Genomic DNA, 17,960 nt, shown 5'->3' on the forward strand with positions numbered 1-17,960 from the left:
GGCTGTTCCTGGTGTTGATTCAACAAATATCCATCAAGTGCATATAATTGGGCAAAGCACTGCACAACTATTGGGTAAAGTATGAGGGAAGGAAGAAGGAAGGAGAAAGAAAAAGTTAGAAAATGGAAGTCTGGGATAACTCACTTTTCTGACTTGGACACACCATGAAATGAGTGCCATTCACTAAAGGAAATACAGTAAGAAAAGCAGGGAATAGGAACTTACATGTTCAAGTTTTATGTTATAATTTCTATTGGTTTCTTTTTAGACCTTTTCAAGTAGCTATTATCTCTCAAAATGTGAAATCCACAAATGCGTATTACTTTTAAATAACTTTAAGGGCCGAGAACAGCAGATAAGTAGGTAGATTAGAAAAATACTTCAGGAGTGGGAAAAAGGTAACATTTATGGGTCCATATTCCTATTCCAAACAATGCCTAGGAGAAACTGTTGGTGAAATCAGGAAATGCTGCCAGAAGAGCTGGTAATCGGTCACGTAGCCTGCTTCCTAGCAGCATGGGACGGATGTGAGCACTTGCTTTTCCCTGTTCCTCTGTGGATCAAACCTGGGTCAAGTTCTAGGTGGGAGCTGTTCAGTGTTGCTTTTCTCTCTACATTAAAATAGTCAGTGTTCAAGAATAATTGCTAGAACAATAGTGCCAGGTATCAGAAGTTTATATTATTATTAATAAACTACTTATTCACCACTTATGTGTAAGACATTGCATTATATATTTTACATGAATTACTTAATTAGGTGGGATTTCATCTATCTGTAGAATATTAGAGCAAGAAAGGGCCTCAGAGCTAATATGGTCCAACCTTCTCATTTTGCAAGTGAGCAAACTGGAGCCATGGAAAAGATTAAATAGCTTGCCGAAGATCTCATCTTGAGTTATTGTTACTAACAAGCTGGCAACGCAATACGGCTGACAAATATGCAACTGGACACTATGAAATCACTCGGGCTCCTCAATCTTTTTAAGTTATTGATACAAACAAGTAATTGTGTCTTTGCCTCACAATTTAACTAATTCCGTACCTGACAATCTTTAAACAAGACAAAGTCTAATTTTCAGAAACATGTCCTTTTGTGTTTTGTGAATGCAACCCACTCAGGTTTTGGAAACACATGGATACTACATTGAGCTGAATTACTCGTTTTTCTATTTTTATCCTCATTTATAATCTCTTTTCAACACCTGATTTAAAAAAAAATTGGAGAGAAAAATTGTGATAGCATTTTGTCTGTGTCTTTAAGAATTTACCTAAAATGTCTAGCTCCTGAAATAAGCTAGTAAATAGATTTACTTTGCTCTGTGAGCCTGTACCTTTCTTTAAAGAAAGAATAATTACACAACTTGGGGGTTATTTTCCCTCTGGCTAAAAATGGCCTGGTAAGTACCCTGAACAATCTCTCCCCTCTGTTCCCTCCTAGCTTTCTCACATGCTCTGCATGCTGTTTCTTGAAAATCCAGATGCTCTGGGCTCCAGCTTGGTCTCTCTGCCTAACATCTGATTTGAAACACTGCGCTAAAACCATCTGCTGTATTTGGGGAATAAAGGGTGGAGTGAGTAATGCTTTTTACAAATGTGTCCAAATAGGGCAATCAAGAGAAGGATAATATTAATAAGACGTGAAGGCCTGTTTGGTGCCGAGCCCTCTGGTTGGCCACTCAGTGGCTTTTGGGGTATTTGTGTTCTCTGCCTCACACCAAGCTTGTCTCAGCTTGTGCATCTTACCGTTTCTTGGCAGCAAGATATCTGTTATACGCTCTGACTAAACTGAACACTTTTAATGGTGAAGTGAGAATTCTGAAGTTCAAAAAAGCCTGAGATGGATTGTAAAGTTGCTATTCTTGAAAGATGCGCTTGAGCTCCTCAGCATCCTTTGTAACTAACATGCATCTGGAGCAGCTATGATTCTTGTTTCTTTCCCTCACTATGGACCCATTTCCAACTGAGCTGGATGTGTGCCCTCGCAGCTCTGTGCAGGGATTTCGGTGGGCTGTCTGCAGGTTTTATTGAACATCTGTAAATCCTCGGCTTGGGTATGCTTCCAGCTACCACTTTAATCTGTTCCTGGTATACAGTGCTCTAGGTTTTTAGCACTGGGGGCTGGGGAGGCATCTGTTTTGCTGCTGCAAGCAGAGGATGGAATAGTAACCTTGGTTTCCCATGCGCTGTGGAACATGATGAGGAGTTCTTAGGAGACCACGGTTACCGTCTTTAGCACAATCTGCTCTCTTTTCCCAGAGAAGTACCATCTCTGAGAAGCATATTTTTCAACTTATTGTAAATGAAGCCTATAGGGCTGCATGGGGCAGGGAAATTATACATAATTTATCCAAATATTTGTTCTTTCTGAGAGAGGAGTATGAGAGTAGGGATGCAGCTGTGGGGCTCATAGAGACACTTAATGGAGACACGTCGAACAAGTGAATCGTGAGAGGGTAGAAAGGCAGGGGCTGTGGGTCTGGGCAGAGGGTGTGGGAAGTTGGGATGGGTGGACACAATAGGAAACCGAGACTGAAAACATCTGTGCTGCTGTCTCTGTGAATCCTTGGTGCTTAACTCTTCACAGAAGCTGGATCTGTGTGTGGCCAAGACCTGTTGAATTGCTCGCCTGATGTAAATTTCCCAAGACTTTGGCTCATACGTACTTTAGCCTCCTGGTTACAGCCAAGAGGAAAGTGACTCAAAACCTGCTCTCCTAAGGTTCTCTGGGAAGCCTGCTATGTGTCTGGACTGCATGGGGTCTCTTGACTTCAACCAGACTTTTCAGCATGTTTCAGTCAGTCTCTAAGGAATGAATCTTTGCTGAGATTTTTTTTTCTCCTCATACTACAGAAATTCTCAGAATTGTTCACACAATCTGGGAAGTTCAAATATTTTTCCCTAATCTTTGAAGACATTGATGTGCAATGCAGAACTTTAAGATCCAAAAATCTTAATTCAACAGAAAAGTCTTGTTGTACTGAGAAAAACAAAACAAAAACAATTCCTTAAATTATCTGAACATTTTAGTCTTTTCCCTCCCTTTTTCTCACTTCTTTTCCCCTCTAAGGACACAGCAAGAGTAAGCGGAAGCTATTAGGTTGGTGCAAAAGTAATTGAGGTTTCGGCCATTACTTTCAATGGCAAAAACCACAATTACTTTTTCACCAACCTAATACTTCATGGTGGTGACCCTGGAGTTTTCTTGCTATCATCCAAACACTTTTAAAATACCTTTATTTTGGATTGTTTTAAATCCATTGTTTTACAAACAGTGAATTTAAATTGAGGACCTCCTCCTCTGGCTGGAGTGCCCTGAAGAATTGTCCTTTATGCTAAGGAAAGGTAATTCTTAGGAGGGAGTCTCCTTTAAAGAGCCCCAAGCTAACGGCTCAATAATAATAATAATAATAACAATAAAAAATGCCATTCATCGGCTATCTACTATGGACCTGGCCCTTTATGAATGCTCTATTCAACCTCACAACATCCTTTCAAACTACTATTATTTATCCCCACTTTAAAGCATAGAAAATTGAGTCTCAGAGTTAAGTGAATTGATTAACTTTACAAAGCTTAATACATGATGAGGCTGGGATTTTTTTTAAATTAACTTTTATTTTAGGTTTGGGGGTACATGTGAAGGTGAGTTACCTAGGTAAAGATGTGTCATGGGGATTTGTATATATTATTTCATCACCCAGGTATTAAGCCCAGTACCCAATAGTTATCTTTTTTTCTCTCCTCCCTCCTCTTACCCTCCCTCCTCAAGTAAACCCCCATGCCTGTTGTTGTCTTCTTTGTGTTTATAAGTTCTTATCATTTAGCTCCTACTTATAAGTAAGAATGTGCTGTATTTTGTTTTCTGTTCCTGCATGAGTTTGCTAAGGATAATAGTTTTCCAGCTCCACCCATGTTCCTGCAAAAGACGTGATCTCTTTTTTTATGGCTACATAGTGTTCCATGGTGTATATATGCCACATTTTCTTTTTCCAGTCTGTCACTGATGGGCATTTGGATTGATTCCATGTCTTTGCTATTCTGAACAGTGCTGCAATGAACATTTGCATCATGTGTCTTTATGGTAGAATGATTTGTATTCCTCTGGGTATATACTCAGTAATGAGATTGCTGGGTCTAATGGTAATTCTGCTTTTAGCTCTTTGAGGAATCGCCATACTGCTTTCCACAATGGTTGAACTAATTTACTCTCCCAACAATAGTGTATAAGGGTTCTCTTTTCTCTGCAACCTCGCCAGCATCTATTTTTTTACTTTTTAATAATAGCCATTCTGACTGGTATGAGATTGTACCTTATTATGGTTTGGATGTGCATTTCTCTAATAATCAGTGATATTAAGCTTTTTTTCATGTATTTATTGGCAGCATGTATGTCTTCTTTTGAGATGTATCTGTTCATGTCCTTTGCCCACCTTTTAATGGTCTTATTTGTTTTTCCCTTGTGAATTTGTTTGAGTTTCTTATAGATGGTGAATGTTAGACCTTTGTTGGATGCATAGTTTGCAAAAATTTTCTCCCATTCTCTAGGTTGTCTGTTTACTCTGTTGATAGTTTCTTTTGCTATGCAAAAGATCCTATCTTGTCCATTTTTGCTTTTGTTGCGATTGCTTTTGGCCTTTGTCATGAAATCTGTGTTTGTTCCTATGTCCAGGATGGTATTGCCTCGGTTGTCTTCCACGGTTTTCATAGTTTTGGATTTTGAGGATGGGATTGGAATCCAGCTCTGTCTGAATCCCAATCCCGTGATGCTTGTTCATCTCTCTCTCTCTCTCTCTCTCTCTCTCTCTCTCTCGTTAATTGTATTCTGTAAGAGGACCAAGTGTTGAGCAAATTGGAGTTGAGAGACATCGGTAATTAGGACAGTTGAGGTAGTAATCATAGCATTTGCTCAGTGGTGTAGGCATTACAAGAGCCTTTCTTTGCTTGCTTTCTTTCTATCTTACTTAGTTCCCACAACACCCCTGGAACATGTCTTCTTCAACCTTTAAGTCAACCTAATGAAATGATTCACCTTGGAGTCACTAGTAAGTTCAGACAAGCCCAGGACACTGCTGAACCATCGATCGCAATTGCCCAAAACCCAGGTATGGTGACACACATCTTTATTTCCTGACCTGCTTCTGCTTGATTATAGTCCCTCAGTCCCAGCATCAAAGACTATTGTCTTTCACTTTCAACTCTACTTTTGTCTTTTCAATTTGTTAATTGCTATTGTTCATCCCAGCTGGACCCACAATGCCAAGACTTTGGCTGCTCTTCACTCTGCAGTTATGTGGCTGATCTGGCAGGATAACCCACCCAGAACCAAATTAAATTGGAAGGTCAGTTCAGCTGGATAGTTGCCAGGGAGGAAATCCTACCCAGATGCCACTTAAATTGGGAGATCAGTAGGGCCATTTACTGGAGTGCCAATAATTCAAAGCATCAAAATACACTTGTGGTCTAAACTATGCCTGGAAATATAAAAACATGGAGAAAGATGATATTTCCATAACTCGTCTCAGGGAGAGTACTGTATATCGTGTAAGAAAAACACAGATAAGCTACTTTGGAGGGGAGAGTGACAAGACACCCAAGGTAAATTATTGAGTAGCAATAGCTGGCAAGAGCTAAGTTGCTGAGAAAAAGAAGGAAGATAGAAATTGGTAGCCTGCAGCCCACGGTGCTCTTTCCCCTCTTAGTCTTCAACATCTCCTGTAGACAATGTTGAACAGATATTGAAACAAAACAAAGAGGCACCTGCTTCAGGACTACCAAATTGTTATCCTGCTATGTCACCAATATGTCTCATTCTGCTCCTGACCCCACCAGCCTCAGAACCTAGATGCTAGAACAAAGCTCCTTGGCTAGTACTCAAGCCCAGCCCCTTCCTACTCCTGTAAAGTGGGTTTGTATAGATGTAGGTGTCGTTGTTGTCATCATCATCATCGTCATCACATTTTCAGATGAGGATCTCTGAAAGTGAAATACCCAAGGCCATTCACCTAGGAAGAAGCAATGGCTTCTAAAACTACAACATGATCCCTACATAGCACATACTAAGGTAAACTAATACTATTTTTAAAAATCTAACAATGGTCATAGAAGACTGGAGCTGGTCTTTGTGTTTCCTGTCAAAGAGTTCCTCTGCATCTTTTCTTAGTATGCTAGGAATACATATTTCTTAAAAGTATCCTGACTTATGTCCAGAGAAAGCAAATACTACTAGTATTTGCCTCTTGTTCTAGAATGTGTTCTCAGAAAATGTTAATAAACACATATATGTCTTTAGTGATCACATTTTTTAAACTTTTATGTTAGGTTCAGCGGTATAGGTGCAGGTTTGCTATATAGGTAAATTAAGTGCCACAGGGTTTTGGTGTACAGATTATTTAATCACTCATGTAATGAGTGTAGTACCCAACAGGTAGTTTTTCAATCCTCTCCCTCCTCCTACCCTCCACCCTCAAATAGGCCCTAGTGTCTGTTTTTCCCTACTTTGTGTCCATATGTACTCAGTGTTTAGCTCCCACTTGTAAGTGAGAACATGTGGTATTTGGTTTTCTGTTCCTGCGTTGGTTTGCTTAGGATCATGGCCTGCAGATCCATCCATGTTAGTGACCACATTTCAAGGGTGCTTTTACGTTCTTTCACATTAGGGAACACTATCATGCCTCCAGCTGACCAAGAGCTGAGTCCTCTTGGTCCAGGTGCACTTCCATGAAAGTGCCTGAATTGTTCTTTTGCTTAGGACTTTATAAGCTCCTTAAAAGTTCATGGGAGAGGAAGTCAAGACCACCAAGGAAAGAAACCATACACATCCAAAGTGAACTGAAGCTTAAGTATATTTTTAAAAATTCACACCATCTAAAGGCATGAGTGTGGTGTGAGGGCTCCAATCTCTTTTCACTAGGAGATTCTTGAAATCCTAAATCAAAAATGGTTTGGGATTGGTGATATCCAGTTGTATTCTAGAGATCTTCCTTCATCCTGACTTAGTGTTTCTGAACAGAATTATTCACTTCTCCAGTCCAAGCTGGTTTGTTTGTTTGTTCCAAATCTTAACATCTGTTTTCTATGTGGTTGATTAAAAGGTTAGAATTCAAGGCAGGCGTATTTTCTGCCTCAACCACCCATAATTTAACCACTATACAGCTATTTTTCTTGCTATTTCTGTTTCTAAATACTACCACACATGATTTTTTTGGGACTTCTTTTTGTGACCCCTCTATGCGAGGAAGTTAGATTTGTTTATAGAGCTCTAGGGCTTGAGGTAGAAAAAAATTATCTCCAGGACTCTTTCCTGCCTGGAAGAACCTTCTTCAGCCACTTTCACATCCCTTCTGCTTGTCTGCATCTCATCCATTACCTGGGACTCCTCCACTGCCCAGTCCTGAGGCAGTGCTCTGGGTTCTTTTCCAGGAGTACTGCTTTTGGTCATTAGCTGACTGCTGCTCACTGGATGGCTATGTGAAGAGTCTCTTTACACTGCAGGGCTGGTTGGAAAGTCATGGACCCATTGAAGGCAGTGTGAACTCACTGTCTTGTGTTTCTGAACAGAAGAGCAAGGCATATCTGGCTCTGGTAGAACTGGAGGGGACAGATGTCTCTCCTTGTTCTACCTGTTTAAAGTTAACAAAGAGTAATAGTCTGGGAAAGAAACCTGAAAAAAAAAAAAAAAAAAAAACAAAAGAAAAAGAAAAGAAAGGAAAAGAAGAAAAAAGTGAGGGAGAGGCCAAAAAAGAGCAGCCAGACCTTCTGCCCTTGCTTCAATAATATCTGATCCATCATGATCGTTCCTGTGTACTGGAGTTCTGAATGAGGTCTCCATTGACCAAAGGAGACTGCTGCAAAGATAAAAAACTGAAGGGCACTTATCTTATCCAGTCCCTTCATTGCAAAAGATGAGTAAAATGTGTTATAGGAAGGTTATGAATAGCTAGGGAATATCAGAAACACACATATTGTCTTTTCCCTTTATTAATAGATTGTGGGGTATAATGCTGATCTGCTACTATTAGATACATTGAGATCAGATATAATCTGCATCCATACAGTCTTTCCAGAAAATATTATTCCCATCCTTTGGCAGGGGTGCTCAGTGCACTTGAGTCAGATGAGAAACATTCTTTGGGAATAATAGAGTTCTTCTCCCTTAGAAATGTTTCATGTACTTCAGAGTTGCTGCCATATGGTTCCCATAAAGGTTCTGCCAAAATTCCCGTGGTTCTCACAAGAGCTCCTACCTCCTCTGTTCTTTTAATCTCCTGCTGCGGGTGGCAGACATGGGAGAGACAGGCAAGCTGCAAAGGGAAGTCGACGAAATAAAATTAAAGCCCTACAATCGTGTTCGTGTCAATGTAGATGGGGTGCCCCCCTCGGTTTGCTCACAGAGGTGGGTGTGAGATCCTACAGGACGGTCTGGAAGACATCCCATGGAAGGCACTTTATTTTGCCCAGAAGCTGGAGGAAAAGCAGAAGGCAAGTGTTGTCTCTTAGAAGGCCTGGGCGGGGGGTAGGGGGATGGTAAAGGTTTAAGGAGAAGAAGTCTTTAGGAATTTTTACTTCACAGAAAAAAGAGAATGATACCTAGAGGCTTGTCTGAATTTGTGAAACAATGTAACAACAGAAAGAGGCAATGTTTAGAAAGGCTACCCCTCCTGATTATGTGTTCTGGCAGGCAGGGCAGAAACAGTCTCGGTGCCCATGTGAGGACTGGAACTGGTTTCTTTTCTCCTTTACATGATTGTTCTGAGTCCCTTCTGTTTCTTGGTGAGCTATATTGTGGTCTCTCTCCCAATCCCCCACCCTAAATTCTATGTACGTAAGTGATTGACAACTTTCTTCTTTAGAAAATCGCAAATTTCTCTTGAAGGTAAATGGCAGCGTTACAAGATACACTCGTAGAGTCTGTAGTTGTGGAACATATGCTCCTGCTTGCTAATTTCTGACTGCACATTTTGAAATAGATTCTTTGAGATTAATGACCAATTATTAGCTCTGACGTGATGCTTGCTAAGTTGGATGTGGATTCATTTAGTAAACCTTGTGTGTGCATTTGTTTTTTTATGTTTAGCAACTGCTTACATGGATCACCTGTTTTTGTTTTGCTATGACTTCAAAGTAGGTAAGGCAAAAAGAGACTTTTGGCCCCTGAAACTCATTCCAAAAATTATACTGAAGAAGTGAGATCTCTAGGTAGGTCTTGCTGAGTTTGGCAAGCCCAGGGGGGCTTATATTTTGATGTCATGTCACTTCTTTCCCAATTGTCCTGTTGTTTGACTCATCTAGAGGAGATTTAGCACACATGTTGGAGAGCAGTGAGGTGAAATAAAGGTCACTCAGGAATAGCATCCTCACAGGTCCTCATTCTAGCCAGGGTCCATCTGTATAAGCTCTTTGGGTGATCCCTCCCCACCTCCGTAAATGTTTGCCTCTCATGTTGCAGGTAGTCATGGGGCTTTTGCTTGATTTGACTGAGACAGTGAATTGATTTCACTCCCCCATTTCCCTCTCCTTCTACCCTATTTGAATTGTCTCTGCATGCTTGAAGATGAGGTAATTAAATATATCTTTGAAGGATATAGAAAACAACACCACCCTCCTCCTTGCCTTCTTCTGGGGAGTGCAATCCGGTAAACTACCAGGTTGTCTTGTCAAATGAGTTATTGTTTTTCAAAATGTAGCCTGAATGGCATCCTTTATAATTAAGGCTTCTGGCTTTCAGTTTAAAGTGATATTTGCCAGTAAAAGCCTGCCAAAAAATAAATAAATAAAAGCAGGCTTACCGTTAAATATTGATTTAAACTTGGAAACTGGCTCCAAATTTTGTTATACTAGTCTTGATCTTCACGGCCTCTGGGCATCTGTTTCAATTTGGTCAAATTGAAATGGGGAGGGACAGTGCCAGGCTAACAGCAAGGTGATCCAATATAGTAGGATGAGTTGTATTTGATGAAAAAGAGCCAGGCAAAGTCATCTACAGGTCCTGGGGATAGGTGAACTGGACTCGGATAAAATAAAAGCTGATGGGCATCTTAACCTGTCCCTTGGGCTGACCTGAGCCAGTGATTATATTTTTGAAATGTAAAAAAACATTGGGTTATCTTTGGAGGACAGAATTTTTTTTTTCTGCCTTTCTGTGTTTCCTGTTATATAGAAGCATTTCCTGCAACTGGTCTGGATGGGCATTTTTCCTTATGATCCTTCCACAGTACTGGGAGGGATATTTAAAAAGCTCAAATGCAAAACATTTCCCTAGGAACCAAATTCCTCAATCCCCACTTTGAGTTTTTTTCCTATGTAGGAAAAGGATAAGGTTCTCAGAAGAGTTTTCTCTTCCTGAGTATATATGTTTGAGATTGAGAAGTGTTCTTATCTATCTCTATCTCTCATAAGAGAAGGCAAACAGGAAGGGGGAGAGTTAAAAGTTCCTGAAAAAAGGGCCCTTGATGAAACTGAACTCTGTGGGTGCAAAGTGCCTGAGATCTATTAGTTTTGGCAACCCCAGTTATTCCAGTGTCTCTCATCATCTGTAAAGTTAACAAGGGCTGATAAGAGATGATGAGACGGGGTACTGGTTTGTATTTCCAGACTCATAAATATTTCACAATACCATTTTTTTTTTTTTACAATCAGATACATTAGTTTGCCAAGTATGCTGCTGGATGTTCATTCAGCACTAGTGTTTAACAAAAGCCCGGTTTTAAAATCAGAGGATATGAGTTGGGGGGGCCTTGAGGTAAGCATCACTTGTTATTGTACCTGGCTTTCAAATGCATGTCCTAATTTGAGAGAGGGAGTTGGTATTTGACCTCTAGAAACTGCTGCTGTCTACCTTGAAAAATATATTGTTATGTTCTATGGGCAAAAAAGCATCAATCTTAGCTACACTCTCATATTCTTTCTCATTCTCTAGCTCCGCCAGTGCCCTTGTGTTTCTTTGTACTTCACACCATGGACAGTAGAATCAGGCACCAAAGGGTGAATTTAATTTGGAACAAACCTCTGTCTTGATAGAACTGCCTTTGCCCGGGCTCAAACACAGCAACCTGCAATTTCCTGAGGCTGTGCCTCACCTAGCACTATCACAGGCTCTAAAAATTAAGTCCAGCCTCAGCATTTCTCATAGCTAACCCAACTACAGCAAAAAAGGGGTATAGACACACAAGTCAGCCAAGTAGCAATGGTTTTCTCCCTGATGTAATCAAATGGAGTGCAGGGATATCACTTGATTAACAGCTGCGGTATTAATTTCCCTTTTTGGTTGCTTGACTCACAGCAAGAATCATGTCAAGGCAGCAGAGAAGCAATTAAATTGATTTTAATCTTTGTCAGAGAAGATAACATGCCTCTTTCTCTTCTCATTTAAATAATTAAAGTTTCAGTAGGTATTATTTCTGGCTTTAAAGAAATTGGTATCTTAATGTAATAGAATCCTTGTAATTATATACTTAATGGTCCTTAATAAGTTAATCATGGTTTTTCATTTAACATGTATTTTTTACTTATTAAACTTTTATTTGTTATAGTATCTTTGCTTTCAAGAAGAAGGGGGAAAACACAAAGAATGATAGATATAAAACAGTTCTGTTATTTCTTATATTAATCCTTTCAGCATTTATTTTCTTCTTCTTTCATGCTGTCTTGGACTTAAATGTGAAGTAATTTTTTTACATTTCAGTTCATTTAAAAGAAGCCCACTTATTTTAATACCAACATACTTAATTTTAATAATAATAAAATTTTGGGCTCCTATGAAAACTTCTTTTAATAACAACATACTTAATTTTAATAATGATGAAGTTTTTGGCTTCAATGAAAACCTCCTTGTGTAATATTGTATTACTTAAATTGTTTTGAACTCCTTTAAACTTAAAATTTCATTAAGATCTTAGAGAAATATTGAAAAAACATTGCAAATGGTTTTATTCCTCTTTGGCATTGAGTCAGACATTATATAGTTATTTTACTACTCGCCCCAACATTGTGAGATGCATTTCAAGGAAAGGAAATAGAGAAAAACAAATAGGGGCAAAATTCATCACAGCCTTCCTTGTTAGATGCTGGATTTTAGCTTTGATGCATACGTAGCCTATATAATGTTGAGCATTACATAATTTAACTATATAAACCCCAGTTGCTACCAATGAGAGGAGTGACTTGTGTAACAGAAGAAGTGTTATCTGGAGAAAACCTACTTCTCAATTCAGATTCCTATGAAGAAATGAGCTTTTCACCAAAAGGTTTCAAAACTGCTTCCTTTTCAGGGCGCTGAACACTGACTAAGAGGAGAGAGCGCACATTACATGGAGACCATGGTCCCCATACCAGAAACATGAGAGTAGAGAGAAGCAAAGCCAGCATCGTGGAGCCAGTCCCTTTATCCAGGATCTTGGAGGGATACAGTCTTCTGTAGAAATTAAATAAAGACTGAATTCTTCAATGGGTATTTTGAGAAGAGAGCCACTGTAAGCTTATACACTGTGAATTGCAAAATGTTACTGCCTCTGGGTGGACAGGTTTTAAAAAGACTTTTTTTTTTCCTCCTGGCATGGCTGACAGAGGGAAGGCTGGGTTTCAATCCCATCTTTCCCTTCCCTTGCCCAGTGCTTCTTTATGTGCACAACCTGCACAACTATATGTGGTTTGCAAACACGCATAAGCAAAGACTAACAGCTTCTGAAACAAACTCTGAATAAAAGAGGGAGCATATTAAGGCAGATGGCAGAGGAGGTGAGCAGCATGGGCAGATAGAAGCATCACAGAGACTACAAGAAGAATGTGCCAGACCGGCTCATAGTGGCCACACTGATTAAGAATTACCATCAGCTCTTTAGGATTTGGAAACTTGGAAACACATTGTGTGTTCTTCCTGGTTTGTTATAGAGTATGTGTATGTACTTCTTTCTCTTAAAAATATTTATTTTTAAAGAATTGACTTATAAAATTATATGTATTTGTCATGTATAACACAATATTTTGAAGTACAGTCCTGTGTCATAAGGATATGTTCTGAGAAATCCATCAATTTTGTCATTGTATAAACATGATAGAGTGTATTTACACAAACCTAGGTGGTATAAACTACTACACACCTAGGCTACATAATGTAGCCTATTGCTCCTAGGCTATAAACCTGTATAACATGCTACTGTACTAAATACTATAGACAATAGTCACATACTGGTGAGTATTTGCGTATCAAAACATATCTAAATATAGAAAAGATGCAGTAAAAATATGGTATTACAATCTTATGAGACCACTATAGTATATGAGGTCCATCATTGATTAAAACATAGTTATATGGTGCATGACTGTATATATGCATTGTGGAATGGTTAAATCTAGCTAACTAACAAATGTGTTATATCACATAGTTATTATTTTTGAGGTGAGAATACAATATTCACTCTCTTAGCATTTTTTAAGAATACAGTATATTAACTATAGTCACCATGCTGAATGGTAGATCTCTGGAACTAATTTCTCCTATCTAAGTGTGATTATGTACCCTTTGACCAACATCTTTCTAACCCCACCCCACAAACACCCCATAATAAAGCCTCTTGTAACCACCATTTTACTCCTTTTTCTATGAGAATGGCCTTCTTTGTCTCTCCTTTTGTCTGTCCTTACAGTTTTTTACTTAATGTCTATTTTGCCTGATATTAATACAAGTATACTTCCTCCTGCTCTCTTTTAGTTTCTACTTGCATAGAATATCTTTTTCTGTTCCTTCATTTTCAGTCTGTGTGTCCTTATAGGTAAAGTGAGTCTCCTGTAGGCAGCAGATAGTTGGGTTGGCTCTTTTTTTTTTTAATCCATCCCAGCCACTTTATGTATTTTGATCAGAGACCTTTATCCTTTTACAACCAAGGTAATTATTAGTAGATAAGGACTTACTACTGACATTTTGTTTATTGCTTTCTCATTGTTTGATAGATTGTTGTGTGTGGTTTTTATTACAGGGTGTATCTTGAGTCATCTCAATTAATCTTGATGCTCTTGGTTCCTACATCGCTGTTAGCATTGAGGATGTTAGAGTGCAGAGTATCAAAACCAGCATTCATCAGAAAGAAAGGATGTTTACACAAACATTAAGGCATGGAAGAGAGTCAGTGGGGTGGGGATGGGAAAGGAAAGAATATCCTAGGCTGAGAAAATCACTGAAGCAAGAAAATGGTGTATATGAGCATGGGTTCTTTTAGAAACTATCTTAACACCTGATCAAATGTGGGTGTTTCTGAGAATGCTGAGCTGATTATGGCACATTCTCTGTCCTGGAGAAGCTGGAAGCATTTTTACATCTACCCTATTTGATCCTCATACAAATTTTATAAATTAGATAAGAAACATCTTAATAACTAAAAGTCACTGAAGAGGGAACCTTAAAAAAAGTACTTTAAAAAAGTACACAAGACTTAAGTTTACACAACTAACTCTAGGAATGCTGGGACTGGAACCCAGCTGCCTGGCAAGTACCATGGTGTTTTCAACCGGATCAGAGAGGGGTGAGCTTTTTCCTGCTTCTTCCCCAGAGCAGTAAATTAAAAAAAAAAAAAAGCGTTATTGCTGTTATTTTATTATGATGATTATTACTATTATCAGATAGTGAGGGGTGAAGGAAGAGAGTACAGCCAGATTTCTTCATTTCTCTCTACTAGTGGTAATGTGTGTGGGGGCATAATAAACTCAATTAAAGGAGTTCTGAGTATTTGCAGAGCAAGTTTGTTCATCTGTCTCAACTGCTTTAAAGATTTTTTATTTTAATAAGATAAATAGTTAACTCATCCTGCTAAATGAATTTTCTGCTAATAACCATATACCTCTCCCACAACACTAATCACAAAGTATATTTCTAAAGTGATTCCAGCCCTGTTTGGGGAATCAGTATTATTTACTCTTTTTCCTCTAGTCCCTAGCACAATGTCTGGGCTAGAGGATTCATTTGATCACTCAGGAAATATTCATTGAGAACCTACTATGTGGCAGTCACTATTTTAGGTACTTAGGACATAGCAGTGAAGAAAGTAGATATGATTCTTTCTCTAATGCAGCTTATATTTTGATGGAATATTTTAGTATTTCTATAAATAAATAAAGATATGTGTTACAAAGAAAATTAAAGAGATGTGATAATGATGAAATGGGATAATTTGCTTGGGTGCCCAGGAAGGTTACTTTGAGGAAGTGACATTGGAACTGAGACTCAAATGTCAAGTTTTAAATGTAGGAAAAAGCTTTGCATGCCTGAAAAATGGAAAGATGAATATTATGGCTTGAGGCTGAAGGGGCAAAGGAAGTGGTGTGGAGGTGAGTGGAAAGATTCCAAGGTGGTCTTTTCACAGAGGAGGGTGAGGGAGCTAGGTAATGTCAAAAGCTGACCCATGTTGCTAGGCTGTCAAAAGTACCAGGCTACAAAGATTCTCCAAAACTTAATTAAATTTAAAAATATTTGTGCTCCAAAGGACACCATCAAGAAAGTAAAAAAATAACCCACCAAATGGGAGAAAATATTGGCAAATCATGTATCTGATAAGAGGCTTGTATCCAGAAATATAAAGAACTCTTACAATTCAATGGATAAATAAACCAATTTAAAAAATGAGCAAAAGACTTGAATAAATGTTTCTTTAAAGAAGAGATATAAATGGCCAATTAACAAATGTAAAGATCCTCTTCATCTTTAGTTATCAGAAAAATGCAAATCAAATCATGAAATACTCTCTCAAACCCACTAGATGGCTAGAATTTAAAAAGTCAGTAACAAGTTGTTGGCAAGGATATATGGAAAACAATCCTCATACCCTTCTGGGAATGTAAATGGGAATGTTAAATGGTGCAGCTGCTTTAAATGTCAAATGGTCCAGCAATTCTATTTCTACATATATATACCCAAGAGAAATGAAAGCATATGCCTCAACAAAAACTTGTACACAAATGGCATTATTCATAATAGCCAAAGATGGGAATAACTCAAATGACCATCGACTGATAAATGAACAAACAAAATGTGGCATATCCATACAGTGGAACTGGCCATAAAAGGAATAAAATGCTAATACATGCTATAACATGGATGGACCTTGAAAACATGATGGTAAGTGAAAGAAGCCAGTCACAAAGGGCCACATATATCATTCCATTCACATCAAGTTTCCAGAACAGAGAATTCTATACAGTCAGAAAGTAAATTAGTAGTTGCTTGGTGGTGGGGGATGGGAAGACAGGGTAGTAGTTAAAGGGTACAGGATTTCTTTTTGAGGTGATGAACATGTTCTAAAATTTGCTGTGGAGATGGTTGCATAAATCTGTAAACATATTAAAAGTCATTAAATTGTACACTTGAAATGGGTGAACTGTATGGTGTGTGAAATATATCTTAATAAAGCTATTTTAAAAAAACACTAAAAAAGCTCCCAAAGCCTAAGGTACACTTTATACTACTAAGAGATTCAGGCTCTTCAGATAAAATTTACTACTTCCAGATTAGAATACTTCTGTGCCCAAGGGAGAATCATCAATGAGGCTATTCTTAGAACACAAAGCTTTCCTTCCTAAAATACTGGAAAGGAGCAACACCTTGAACACCACAGGAAACCCATAAATATCTAATTTGCACCACTGCATGATAAAAGCAGCTTGCTTCTTCCACTCATTAGCAACACTCAAAAATATATTCTAGCTCTTTGCCTGCTGAAAGGGATATTTACGTTTGCTCTTTGTATCAACTAAATAAGCCCTGTTTATGCCTACAGTTTCTCTGCAGCTCTGGTCCACCTGAACTGTGTTTGGAAAGCAGATAGAGAACTTCTGGGACAAACACGGTGGTGGAAGGTGTGAGAGTTGTATGAGAAATCATTTGAATTAATGCATTTGGAATCATGAATTTCAAAGTAACTCTAGAATTAAGAAAGTTTCAGCTTCCTAGATGACTAGAAGTCAGCCATTGTATCTGACTACCTGTAACATGCTCTTTGTCTTGCAGATGAACTGGTCATAGCAGAGGCAAATTTTAAGCCCTTTAAAATAGAAAATATCTTATTCATCGTTGTACTCTTTAATCTATAATTTAGTGGTTTTGTATATAACATGTGTTCAGTGATGTTTAAATTGAATTTTAATTAATGGATTACCTTGAGAACCAGTTCAAGAAAAATTTTCAGTGATTGAAATTAATAAAATTGAACACATGATGGATGCTATTAGCCACCTGTAGGTCTGACCCACCCTGGGAGCTGGCTTATAAATGTGATGCTATCTGAACCAGAGTCTCCAGCTGCCAATCAGGAAGCCATGGAATTGATGATGCTACTGTAAGTTGATATGGAAAGAAACGGAAAGTAAGACTTTCCCAGTACAGATAATGCTCAATTTATAATGGGGTTATGTACTGATAAACCGATCATAGGTCAAAAATATCATAGGTTGAAAATGAATTTAATACTCCAGGAAACCTGTCATAAAATAGAAATATAGTAAACTGAACTATTGTAAATTGAGGACTGTCTGTGTTTTTTAGCCTAGTTTAAGGAAGGAAGACCTCATAGCTGGTGGACATAAGCATTCAGTTCACTAGACTGAGGCTCTGCTTGGTGGCAGAATAGTTCAGTAGGCTTTACCGTAGTGTGCATGAGATATGTAATTTCCTCCACTATCATTATGGGACAAGGTTCCCAGGTATTGACATATATGGAGCTGTATATTTGCCAGTCACAGGGATGTCTCTTCTCTTTCTCTTGATTCCACAATAATCAATCACAAGGTGCTGCCTGTGTGTGTGAGGTCCTGTCTGAAAAAGCCTGTTGGCCTTCCTTGGAGAAAAAAATTTAACAGTTACTTCTTTCAGTTTTTTCCTAACCTTCGCTCTTTCTTGCCACCAATAGAGCAGGGCCTGTTTTCCTGAAGCTTCTCTCTGTCCATTTAGGTTATGTGAATGAGTCTGAAATGTCCAAATA

General features: G+C 38.5%; 1 long non-coding RNA gene across 2 annotated transcripts, besides 1 other annotated feature; it reads left to right on the forward strand.

Moving 5' to 3' along the window:
• The first annotated feature begins 8,231 nt into the window (after positions 1-8,231).
• LINC02607 (long intergenic non-protein coding RNA 2607) lies at positions 8,232-13,580 on the forward strand. 2 transcript variants are annotated; one of them, NR_110621.1, is made up of 3 exons: positions 8,232-8,478; positions 10,636-10,738; positions 12,267-13,580. It is a non-coding gene; the product is annotated as a long intergenic non-protein coding RNA 2607 (long non-coding RNA). The 2 variants fall into 2 exon arrangements; NR_110622.1 differs by lacking the exon at positions 10,636-10,738.
• Positions 16,254-17,179: an enhancer, noted in NCBI's record as "OCT4-NANOG hESC enhancer chr1:95983694-95984619 (GRCh37/hg19 assembly coordinates)". NCBI's record gives its function as "activates a minimal SCP1, AML or CMV promoter by ChIP-STARR-seq in naive and primed H9 embryonic stem cells {active_cell/tissue: H9 hESC(naive and primed)}" and the evidence as "EXISTENCE:reporter gene assay evidence [ECO:0000049][PMID:30033119]".

This window comes from Homo sapiens, chromosome 1 (assembly GCF_000001405.40).
Source record: "Homo sapiens chromosome 1, GRCh38.p14 Primary Assembly".
NCBI lineage: Eukaryota > Metazoa > Chordata > Mammalia > Primates > Hominidae > Homo > Homo sapiens.